This window comes from Homo sapiens, chromosome 9 (assembly GCF_000001405.40).
Source record: "Homo sapiens chromosome 9, GRCh38.p14 Primary Assembly".
Classification (NCBI taxonomy): domain Eukaryota; kingdom Metazoa; phylum Chordata; class Mammalia; order Primates; family Hominidae; genus Homo; species Homo sapiens.
In genome coordinates, this window is record NC_000009.12 from 34,888,647 (window position 1) to 34,900,707 (window position 12,061).

At 45.3% G+C, this 12,061-nt stretch overlaps 2 protein-coding genes across 10 annotated transcripts in view; one reads left to right on the forward strand and one right to left on the reverse strand.

Moving 5' to 3' along the window:
• PHF24 (PHD finger protein 24) overlaps positions 1-12,061 on the forward strand; it is a 316,938-nt gene that overhangs the window by 223,040 nt on the left and 81,837 nt on the right. For all 6 annotated transcript variants that reach the window (XM_047423102.1, XM_047423103.1, XM_017014554.2 and 3 more), the window contains one exon: positions 933-1,008. In XM_047423102.1, coding sequence (XP_047279058.1) covers positions 933-1,008 — 76 coding nt within the window. The remainder of the gene's footprint in view (positions 1-932; positions 1,009-12,061) is intronic.
• On the reverse strand, positions 420-7,118 carry SPATA31F3 (SPATA31 subfamily F member 3). Of its 4 annotated transcripts, none has more exons than NR_164743.1 (5): positions 6,933-7,118; positions 6,393-6,491; positions 5,795-5,855; positions 4,400-4,506; positions 420-989 (listed from the first exon to the last, which is right to left on the reverse strand). NR_164743.1 is itself a non-coding variant. In NM_001309427.2 (5 exons), exons 1-5 carry the CDS (start codon positions 7,074-7,076, stop codon positions 718-720), a joined length of 627 nt encoding a protein of 208 aa, NP_001296356.1. In that variant the 5' UTR covers positions 7,077-7,118; the 3' UTR covers positions 420-717. The 4 variants fall into 4 exon arrangements, 3 of the variants coding, with proteins under 3 accessions (NP_001296356.1, NP_001362823.1, NP_001296355.1); NM_001309427.2 differs by having other exon boundaries at positions 420-986; positions 6,393-6,438; NM_001375894.1 differs by having other exon boundaries at positions 6,393-6,438.

A 12,061-nucleotide genomic window follows, 5' to 3' on the forward strand; every position in this document is an offset into this window, starting at 1 on the left:
TAAAGGAAGGAGCACCATGGCACTCTAAAGGACCTTCCCTCCAGGTTGTCAGCATATACTGTATAGAAGTCATCAATGAATTTTGCCTGTGGGCCAAAAATGCATTAGATTCCTGGCCACTGCTTCTTATACTGTCGCCATGTCCACATTCCTCCTCTGAGCCCAACACACCATGGGACAATAGAATTCAAGCCTGACCTTTTCTTTCAATGCACCTAAAACAAGGGCCTTTCTTCTCTGTCAAGTCCCTTTATCCACATTCTAGGGTGGGGCTGGGAGGAGTCATGTGGAATGCTGACCCATCTGAAATAAAATGTGATTTAAGCTTCTATACCACATAAGAAGTACTTTTTAGGTCCTTTACTCTCTCTGTCTATCATATACCACATTGAAAATGAGGAGGCACAAACAGGTGGCTCTTTGCTTAAAGGTACAAAGTATATTTGGAGAATGCCCTGCTTCACCTGCATGTTAATGGAAATGGCAATGAAAGCCTTTTTCAGGGGATTGCAGAGGTTCAGGAACCTATGAACTCCTTTTTCTTGTGATGGGTATTCTTGCATAAAACAGTGCCTTCTGCTGAGGTGAGTTAGACCTGGGATAGATTTCCTGGTTGAGTGGCACAAGTCATTTGAGGACAGAGTTTGGAGCATTTGTAGGAGTGGCACAGGACCCAGGATTGGCTGGACTGAAGGGAGTGTTGCTAGAGCAGATTATTTAGGCACTGGGGGCATCACAGAAGATCAGGCCTTCCTCCTCAGTAGAAGGAGGCTGAGCCTCAGGGTCCTCTGTTGTCTTCTGTGTTGTAGCTCCCCACACATGATCTTTGGTGACAGTTGGACTCTTCTCAATGTTTTTTGTCCTGTCTTGGGTCACTGTCTCAGCCTTAGAAAGGAGAATGGATTCCTCATGCCTTCGATCTTTCATTTCAGGGTTAATCCAGTGCAGAAACAGCTTCATCTTGTTATCCAAGCCAACTTCTGGAGCTTCTGGAAGGATGATGCTCTTGTGAGTATGGACTGCCCTTACCAGACCCTGCAACTCTTAGCCCTAGAAAGTGTGGCCCTGCAAATTTTGACCCTGCAAATTTTGCCCTGTAAAACATGGCCCTGAACTATTTGACCCTGAAAACTTTGGATCTGAAAAAAATTTACCCCTTCAAATACTGTACTTGCAAAATTTTGGCCCAGCAAGTAATGGCCCAGTAAGTTGGCCCTTTAAGCTCTGGGCACTCCCGGTTTGGCATTCTCAGAAATCCTTGTTTGGATGAGGTTATTCGGCTTACTCTAACAGCTTTGCAAATTATTCTTATCTGGTCCTTTTGCCCCAAGTAATCCTGGAGGATGCTCTTGGAACTCAAGGTTATGGAGAAGCTGGTGAAACAGCAATAGCCAGTACTGAGAGGATGGAAATGGGGCTCCGCAGATCCAGACAGATCCTTGCTAGTCTCTGCTCAAGGCAACCATCTTAGCTAAACTAAAGTTTTACCTAAGAAAGATCCTGGAGATATATTTGGCAAGTTGTGAGCTCTGGAGTTCTGCTTAGAAGTGCCCCTACTCGCCCCTGAACCTTGGCAGAAAGGGTGTTCTCTCTGGCTGGGGAGAGCTCCAGTGCTGTCCAGACACCCCCTTCTCTGTGATTTCCAGCTGCTTTGAATGTCATCAAATGTCACTGGGTCAACTGTTTTCTCTGCTGGGGTAGGGACTTGTCCTCACTTTTGCAAAGACCTGGTCTAAGGGGCTTAGGGCCCTCCAGGCTGGGTTGTTCACTCTAGCCTCCAGCTGAACACAAAGTACCTGGGCCTCTGTCATGTCTCCACTGGGTGTGAGATCCCAGAATCCCAGTGGGCATGGGGTACTGCTATGGAACTAGATCACTTGTAGCTCTGCTGCACTGTCTTTAGTTCAACGGCAAGCTGTTCTTTCAGTCCAACCCCTTCTGGATCTGGGGCCCATGGGATGCCTGGTGGGATATGAAGTTTCTGGAGTAATGTTTTCCCTTGGTTTAGCAATCTTTAGACTCCTAAAGGATCCCTGTGTGGAGATATTCTTTGGGATGGTGAAAATTTGTTCCCTGGATTCCCTTGTTTTTATGGGACTTCCCAAATGTATCTCAAGGAATTTATTTTTCAGGTAGAAATTTAGTTTGGCCAAGATGGGTGCCTTGAGTGATTAGGGGCTGTGAGGATCTGTCTGCCTCTCTAGCGGTACCATCTCCATCAGCTTGTGTTTTAGTGCAGAACACTTGTACGTTATCTACACAAGCTTCATTGGTGTTTTGAAAGCATGGCCCAGGACTTACACATTGCTGTTCAGATGAGATTGAGTCAGAGGCTCTGATGGGCTCAATCTGTGATTGTGGATTCGTGAGTGATTGCCTGGGCCACAGCCCTGGAAAGAGCCACATAATAGAGAGCAGGCAGCCCTGACAGAAGGGCCAAAACTTGTCTCAAGTTTCTCAGTGGCTTCCTGGGACAGGGTCTGGGCAGCTCAGGATCATCAGTAACAGCATCTGGCAAGCCCTGTTGCTGCTGATCAAGGCCTGTCAGTATTCAGAGTGTCCTTTCCTGATCTGTGTAGGGGCTGATATGTGTCACTTCCAGGTCCAGGTGTTTGCTTTTCAGAGGACAGGGGCGCCAAGTTGCTTCCCAGGCCTTTGGAATACTGCAGAACCAGTGATTTGTAGTCCCAACAATGGCAGATATGGGCAGGGACAATGCCCTAGCAGATCTTCCCATATTTGTAATCTATGTGGCTCTGCAACATTACCTTGGCCTGAGGAAACAATTGCGGACTGGCCCTCCTGCCACAGTGGATCAGAGAAGGCCACTATTCCCACTAGCTTCTGGTGCTGCATGCTGGGAAGACCCACATAGGTCAGGGCTGTACTGCTCCAGGGCAGGGATTATTGGTCATCAGGTCACAGGATGAACTGGATAGACTGCTGGATCTTTTGGATCAGGTCCCAGCAATGACAAATCAACCCTCTGTTTCAATTGCTCCTGGAGGTGGAATCCTAGCAGCCTCTGGGCATGGTCTAGGAGAATGCTTCCTCCCTCTTGAGGACTGAAATGGACTTCCCCAATCAAAGAGTGTCCTGGATCTAGTGGGAAAGGCTGCAACATGTCTCAGGGCTTACATTGTATGATTTCCTGGATCTACAGAGATCTCTGGACAACAGCTGGCAAACTCCACTGAAGCTGGAGCTGCCTCTACAGCAGGTGCCACTCCAAGGCTTTCACTTAGCCTGAGTCAGATATAGGACATTGATCTGGATTTGTCAATGGTCAGATGGAGAATGTGGGGGAAAAGGTGGGGAAGGAGGGGAGATTTTAATTAGTACAGAGGTGAAGGAGAAATCATTGCAGAGAAAGGGCCAAAGCCTCCCCTGTTTTGGAGATTTCTAAAGTCAGACCAGGGATCTCTAAAGGCAGACAGTAATGTGCAGAAAAGAGAAACCACAGTAAGGTAGCTACAGATGTGGCACATTGAGGCCTCAGTGCATCCTCTAGGCAGTGGACAGAGGCCACTTAGAAGCTGAAAGAGAGGAGAGGGTAGAGCTAGAACCATGGGGTTTGGGATTTGTTCACAGTAATTTTTCTGCTCTGAGTCCATAGTGGATCCTTCAAAAACCCTGAAAGCTTAGGTGAACCAGCTAGCCTCCCATGAAACCCAGAGTCAAAGGGATGGAAGCTCATCTGTTCAGCAGAAGCCTTAGAGATAGCATTCAGAGTGAAAGAAATGGCTGTTTGTCTGTCTGTTTTCCATCCTTTGGAAAATTAGAAGTGGTGTGGTATAAGCTGCCCTGTACAGAACTCCTCCACAGATCTTGGGAGCCCTCAGTTGTGGGAATATGTGCAACAATATCCCACTTGTACTTGAAGATTCCTCAGGACTTTTTGGACATTGCAATAGCAGTTGGAAAGGAATGTAGGGTCATAGGCTGTTGTTGTAGGTTTGGGAGCTCTGGGTTCAGGGAAAGAAAGGGAATCTAGTATTCAAGGGCTGCTGACCTTGGTTCTCCAGGACAAATTTGGAGTTGTTTTTCGTCCTCTCCTGCTGGCTCAGAGGAATTCCAGGCTTCTCAAAGTTTGAAGACAGAGATCCCATGACCTGGGACACAGCTGGGACTTGAGATCTCTGTCCTCGCTGAAAGTGATCAGCCCAGGAATCTTGGACGCTGTCTGCACCAGCTGACCGGGCAGCTGACTGGGTTAAAGATTTCTGATCCATTAATTGTGACAGTGTTGGAGTTACAGATGCCAGTGAAAGCTCTTTGGATTTCGGGGAGCCCAGATCCTGACTATGCTTAAAAGACACACTAGATGTGGACAAAGCCTCTAGGCAAGAGGAGCCCTGTGATGGCCCCAGTGAAGTCAGGGAGATCTGGTTGTTCTCACCTGCCAGCAATTGCTTAATCTCCAGAGCCATAACATTGCAGATTTGGCAGCAGGGGTCTGCACACAGGATTCGCCGCACACTTCCTTCCTGAGGAAGCCAGCCCTGGCTGGGAAGAGAAACATGACAAACATTAATGATGGAGTGACATCTGCCTTCTCGGAAAAGTGTGGGCCGGGGTTGGCATTGTCCTTTCCCAGTCCTGAAAATCCTGGAGCCTACACTCTCTTGTTGTCTACCTCCCTGTTTTTCTTCCTAAGAAAATGCTATTTGGAGGCTGGACATAGTGGCTCATGCCTCTAATCCTAGCACTTTGGGAGGCTGAGGTGGATGGATCACCTGAGGTCAGGAGTTCGAGATCAGCCTGGCCAACATGGTGAAACCCCGTCTCTACTAAAAATACAAAAATTAGCCAGGCATGGTGGCGTATGCCTGTAGTCCCAGCTACTTGGGAGGCAGAGGTAGGAGAGTCCCTTGAACCTGGGAGACGGAGCTTGCAGTGAGCCGAGATTGTGCCGTTGTACTCCAGCCTGGGCAACAAGAGTGAAACTCTGTCTCAAAAAAAAAAAAGAAAAAAGAAAAGAAAAAGAAAAAGCCATTTGGCAAGGTGGGCTGGGCTGACGATCTAGAGCTTGTTGGGCAAGGCTTCAGACGACCCATGGGAGGGCGTGGCCCTCAGAGAAGGCTGGGAGCTGGGGTCAGTTCTCTGTTGACCTTGTTGAAAAGCTGAACTAGGAGAACGGAGCCAGGCGGTTAGCTGATGGGGCATCACCAGTTAGAACCCGGATCAGTCTCATTTGAGGCTAAGAAACCCAAAGCCCGGTATTTGGGCTTGAAGTTCATGTAGGACCTCTGCATTCTGAGAGCTATTTGGTATCCCTGCTGATATACTCAATATCTTTTGGGAATCAATCCTGTTCTCTAGAAATCTTAAGAAGAGGATAAGATGATAGGCTGCCATCTGAGGGCTGTCTCCCTAATGACAGAGCCAGAGGAGGTAATGTCAGCAGAATCCAGTCAGACTCAGAGGAGAGGGAATAAAGAGAATAAGACAGGGATGACTTCTTTACGCAAAATCCATTCCTCTTGACTGGATAGCTTGTCTCGTGGCTGAATGCAACCCTGTGTAGAGTCTTTTATGAATTATACACTAGTACAAGCCTGAATTCTAGAACTACTGTGACCCTAGCCCAAAGCAGAATTGGGTGACCCTTCCCTCCTGAGATGTCTGGCCCAGCCCCCCTGCCCTGGTAACTCTCTCAACTAGTGAACCAGCCTCCACTGTGTATGTCTCCCTCCCATCCATTTTCCCTCTTCTCATCTCTACCCCAAGCCAAGCTGAGAAATGATCACAGACCAGACTAGCAGCTGGGAGACTGCAAAGAAGAAGAGATTACCTTTTCATGAGAAACAGCAGCTTCCACAACTTCTCGGCTTCTTCCTGTGAAGTTCTCCTAGCTGAAGAAACAGAAGATAGTGAGTGTTATGTGGAACTGGAGAGGATTCAGGGACATCCTATAAGAAGCTGAAGGCCTTTTAATGAGAAGATACTGAAAACCCCAGAGTCAGAACACTAAGTCACATCTGTGTATAACTTAACCGTTTACGATGTGTTGTTCTGCACCTTGTCTCATTTGTCCTTCACCATCACACTGGGAGTGAGGAAGGATCATCACATGCCCATTTTATGGAGAACAAGACTGAGAGTTGAAGAGACTTCCACAGGTTTGTAAAACTAGTAAATGACAGAGTTGAGGACTTCTGCCCTAATTCCTCATTCTTTATTCTCAGGAGGATAAGATAGAGAATTTTTTAATGTGCCTAGGCTCTGATTTTCCACCCAAGGAAGTCTTCCATGAGAAATTGTCCCTGGGGGGTACTAGAGTCTGCAGTGGTTAGAGCACCTGCTGTTAGCAGCAGGGGTCATAGAGGGTCAGGATCCGTGGGAACCTCACTCACAGCAGAAGTGAATTAGAGGAGAGACTGGGACTTTACCTCTTGATGTTCTATCTCCAGACTTTTGTTGGACTCTTCGGTGACACTTAAAGACAAAAACATTAGAATGCAAAGCTGCTACACCATTTTTTCCCATATCTAAAATGAAACAAAACTCATAAACATTTCCTGGTCTTTTTCTGTGTTCCAATTTTATATACTCTTCTATCTTTCCTTTCTGTATTCTTTTTCACCCCAAGAGTTTTCTTATTTGCTTATTTCTGACTCACTTTCACGCTCTTCCATACTCCATGCCTCCCACCCCCATTCCTTTCATAAGTTCGGTGGGGACTTTAGGATGAGACGGGAGGAAAAGTGGAACAGATTAAAGGATGGATGGGTCCAGAAGTCAAAGGAGTTCAGCCATCAAATGGCCCTAAATAGCTGCCAACCAGAATAATCACCCAAATTGGGAGCTCTTCTGGTGTCCAGTGAGGAGACCCCTTTAAAAAGCAAGGGCTAAGAGTAACAAGAGAAAGCTCGGGGATAAAATCTTGTTTGAGGCACATCAATTTAGCCATGGTCATAGTGTTTCCCTACCCGGCAACAGCTCCTGTTAGGTACCAAGCTTAATTTTTGGCAGCTCTTTTTCACTTGCCAAATAATTAATGCAATAATGCAGATGGATCCATAGGTGTATAAGGGATATCCAACATCCCACAAAACAAAGGTAGGGCTCAACATGATCTAAACCTCACTAGCCATCCCTCTCCCTAGTCTTTCACTGTCTTAGAACCTAATACCTCCAGATTTTACACCTCGTCATTTCTGCCTCACAGAAGAGGGATCCAAATCACCAGACTGCATCACAAAGCCCTCCTGTTCCACAAGGCAGGGATAGCATCACAGACCTTTATTTGTTTTTAAAGAGGCTTACTATGGTGATTCAATGTTCAGATGAGGGTGTCTGGTGCTCTGTATGGGCTACAGAGCCTGGGGCAAAAGATGCCAAGGTCATGGGCAACATGTACCTTTTCATGTTCTCTCTACTCTCTATACTGTTATGGCTTAGCTCTCCCCTTTACTACAATGGCCTGACACCTATTCCTGACACCTAGTGTGCATATGACACCGAGTCTCTATGCACACTACATGCCCTATAAGAGAGACAGTGGATAGATCAGAGGAACTCCATGAACTACATCATCTGTACTGGGAAGATAACAACAACAACAAAAAATAGAGGATAGGGCAAGCATCATATTGTTAAATCTTGGAAACCGATTTTTAATGCCACCAGCAATGATATATGGTCAGTACTGAGAGGTTCAGAAAGAGGGCAGTGTGTGACATGTCAAGGAAAGGACAAAGCTGATGTTCTTTTAAATAACTTTCTGAGAGTTAAAGAAGGACTTCTCCCAATCTGCGTGGTCCAGCCTGAGATGGGTGAGCAGAGATTGTAAGCACTACCTTTCATGGAGGCAAATGAATGAGGCTCACTTCTGGAGCTCTGTACAAGGCTTGATTTTTCCAGAATTGCCTCTACAGATTTTATAGCATCTAGCCTATTCATGGAGATGAGTTATTGGCAAAACTTTCGATTAAGGTTCACAAACTTGTGGCTCTTTGGTTGAATCCACCGTGGTTGGAATGTTTGCCTAAAAGAGTGTTTTATGAAAATCTGAATTTGAATAACTTTAGGCAGAGCAGGATTTTTCCTCATTTAACCCCGGGATCTACCACTCCTTTGCCCACTGATTCTCACATTAATGTTAACTTCATGACCCCTATCAATATTATGGCATGTCCCCAACACCCTAGGATTTCTGAGTTTCCTTGAGAAGTTCTTGCCCTGATAAAAGTGGTTGGTCTTAGGCTCAAAATCTCTGAAAAGGGGCCAAGTGCGGCGGCTCACACCTGTAATCCCAGCACTTTGGGAAGCTGAGGCAGGCGGATCACCTGAGTCAGGAGTTCGAGACCAGCCTGGCCAACATGGTGAAACCCCATCTCTACTAAAAATACAAAAAATTAGCCAAGTGTAGTGCTGGGCACCTGTAATCCCAGCTACTCAGGAGGCTGAAGCAGGAGAATCGCTTGAACCCAGGAGGCAGAAGTTGCAGTGAGCCGAGATCACACCACTGCACTCCAGCCTGGGTGACAGAATGAGACTCTGCCTCAAAAACAAACAAACAAAATCTCTGAAAAGGGTATTTGATCCTTCCTCCAGCATTAGTTCCTCCACCAGACAGGAATAGTGAGCACTCAATACGTGCTTAACCCTAAGTTGGGCAGTGTTGAGAGTACAAAGGCATTTGAGTTGTATTGCCTACCTGCTTTCAAGATTCTTAAAAATCTAGTTTCAAAGACAAGGCATCCACAAGAAGCAAAAGCCAACATTTTGCTGGGGAAGGGGCTAGAGAAGGGGGAAATAGAGTGTTATTGTTTAATGGGTACAGAAGTTTCTGTTTGGGGTGATGAATACAACCATCTTATTCATAAATGAATGCCCTTAATGGCACTGAATTGTACACTTAAAAATAACTAAAATGGTAAATTTTATGTTAAGCATATCTTACCACAACTTAAAAACAACCAAAAAATTCATTAGCACAAGGGTTTCTTTTTGAACTAGCTATAAGGAAAAATATTCTAAAAATGATTTGACAAACAAATGGATTAGTGAACATTTTTCTCTTTTAATTTTTTTATTTCCATAGGTTATTAGGGAACAGGTGGTGTTTGGTTACATGAGTAAGTTCTTTAGTGGTGATTTGTGAGGTTTTGGTGCACCCATCACCCGAGCAGTATACACTGCACCCTATTTGTAGTTTTTTATCCCTCACCTCCTCCCACTCCTCCCCTCAAGTCCCCAAAGTCCATTGTATCATTCTTATGCCTTTTCATCCTCATAGCTTAGCTCCAACGTATCAGTGAGAACATATGATGTTTGGTTTTCCGTTCCTGAGTTACTTTGCTTAAAATAATAGTCTCCAATCTCATCCAGGTCGCTGCAAATGCTGTTAATTCATTCCTTTTTATGGCTGAGTAGTATTCCATCATATATATATACCACAGTTTCTTTACCCACTCATTGACTGATGGGCATTTGGGTTGGTTCTACGTTTTTGCGATTGCAAATTGTGCTGCTATAAACATGCACGTGCAAGTATCTTTTTCGAATAATGGCTTCGTTTCCTCCAGGTAGATACCCAGTAGTGGGATTGCTGGATCAAATGGTAGTTCTACTTTTAGTTCTTTAAGGAATCTTCACACTGTTTTCCATAGTGGTTGTACTAGTTTTCATTCCCACCAGCAGTGTAGAGGCGTTCCCTTATTGCCACATCCATGCCAACATCTACTGTTTTTTTATTTTTTGATTATGGCCATTCTTGCAGGAGTAAGGCGGTATCACATTGCGGTTTTGATTTGCATCAGTGAACGTTTTTCTTAAATGTCCTTCTTATACCTACAAAAGGAAACTAGATCTTCATATTAAGGATAATTTAAGAAGAGTCCTACCTGAAAATGGGATGAATTTGAGCTATTTCATCATCTGCCCTGAACTTGCAAATTCCATAATACAGGAATGAGAAGACTTTTTCAAACAAAGAGCACTGAATGAAAGGTTAACAAAAATCAATTAAAAGGCAGCTTGAGTCAGCTTTTTAGTAGCAGGTCATCAACATACCTGCAAAGTAGCCTGTATCCTTCATTACTTTTATTACTCCTACTTAACCAGCTGTTGCCACCCTCTATGCAGCTGTAACAGTTTTGTCACCCATTAGCCTGACGTCTTGCACCCAGCAGAATCACCACATCTGCAAGTCCTGCACCTGCTTCTGCCAGTGCACTACTTACCTCACAGATAACCCACAGCCTCTGCCCTTCCACCAAGCCATTAAAACCATCTACTGAAAACTCCACTCCAGCAATTCGCCTGGCCCTTGCTCCTCTGCCTCAGAGCTGAGGAATTAGAGCCAAGGGCTGAGCCAAAAATGGTCTCATGCCTTTTTGTAGATTAGGCCTTTAGCATAGGTTTATTTACTGGTTTGGGGCTCATCGACAAGGGTGCTTGTGTGGACAGGACAGTGGGATCAGTGTCTTCCTGAACAAGGGCTCATTCATGTAATGATCACAGCTAAGCCTGGCATTTCTCACGATGTGGGCATGGATCATCACATTTGCCTTTCCTGCCTCGTGGTTGAGAGCGAACAGCAAACGAGGGAGATGAACTACACGAAAAGCCTCTGTGGACGCTGGAGGGCTGCACAACTATCAAGGATTATTCTTCATTTGTTTCTAGAAAACTTGCTTTAAGCCAGACCCTGCTTTCATTATAATGCTGCAGAGCCACAATGATTGCAATAGAATTTCTTCAAGGAACTGTTCATGGCTACCAATTCATACGTACCCATGAGTCCTATCGCCTTGTAAAGAAACATGTGACTGACATGCCACTGGTGTGAGACTTGTCCCTCCACACAAGCCTTACGAAAGAGCTTCGCTGTGTCTCATACTCAGAAAATACTAGTGAACATCTCAAATATACCAAGGTGCCGGGGACAGAGGTGCATAGTTGCTGCAACTCAGTGGCAACACTTTTATAGATGAGCACGTTCATTAATGCCCAAGAGCTAGAATTTCCAGGGAGTTGGGCAGGAAGCCCCAGAGTAGTGTCAGGCAGCAAAACCACCAGAGCTCACACAGCGGATTACTACCCAATGCAGGATTGTGGGGAGTAACAGTAGATGGCAGCCAGAGACACTAGAGGGCAGCACATGCCCACCCAATATGCCTAGTCCTGTGACATCTCTACCCTGACAGGAGCTTTCAAAGGTTATCTTCTCCAGTGGGCTCTCAATCCCAGCCTTATATCAGAATCACTCGGGAGCTTGTTAAAAATATAGATTTTCTGGTTTCACTCCAGACTAATGAATCGGAATCTCTAGATGCAGAGTCCAGCAACCTCTATATTAAATAAGTATCAAAAATAACCCTCAAGCAAGAAGGCACTCAGCTATGGGTTTGTATTTGAGACTCTGATGAAACTATGTCTCTCCCCTCACACTCAAAATTTGATTGAATTTCAGAGGCATTGACTCCACTTATGGACACCGTGGGGAACTCAGGAAGCCTGGTTAAGAAATTTGAATACAATTTATGCCAAGCGAAACACCATCACTCTGAGGTGGAAGCCTCAGCAAGGCCAGGGTCCTTCATGTTTTAAAAAGTCATAGGAACTTTGGGAAAAAAGAGAGACCAATGACCAATATTGAGAATGAGAGAGGTGACTCACCAAAATTCCAAAGACATTTAAAGGACAATCAATTAATGTGAAGGCCAAGCACAGTGGCTCATGCCTGTAATCCCAGCACTTTGGGAGGCTGAGGTGGGTGGATCACTTGAGCTCAAGAGTTCAAGACCAGCCTGGGCAACATGGCAAAACTCCATCTCTACAAAAACTACAAAAGTTAGCCGGACATGGTGGTGTGCACCTGTAGTCTCAGCTACTCAGGAGGCTGAGGTGGGAGGATTGCTTGAGCCTGGGAGGTGGAGGTTGCAGTGAGCTGAGATATCACCACTGCACTCCAGCCTAGGTGACAGAGTAAGACCATGTCTCAATAACAATAATAATGTGAAAATTTTAATGTCTATAAATGGGCAACTTAGATGAAATGGACTGCTATGGTTTGAATGTGTTCCTTCCAAACTTTATGTGTTGGGAACTT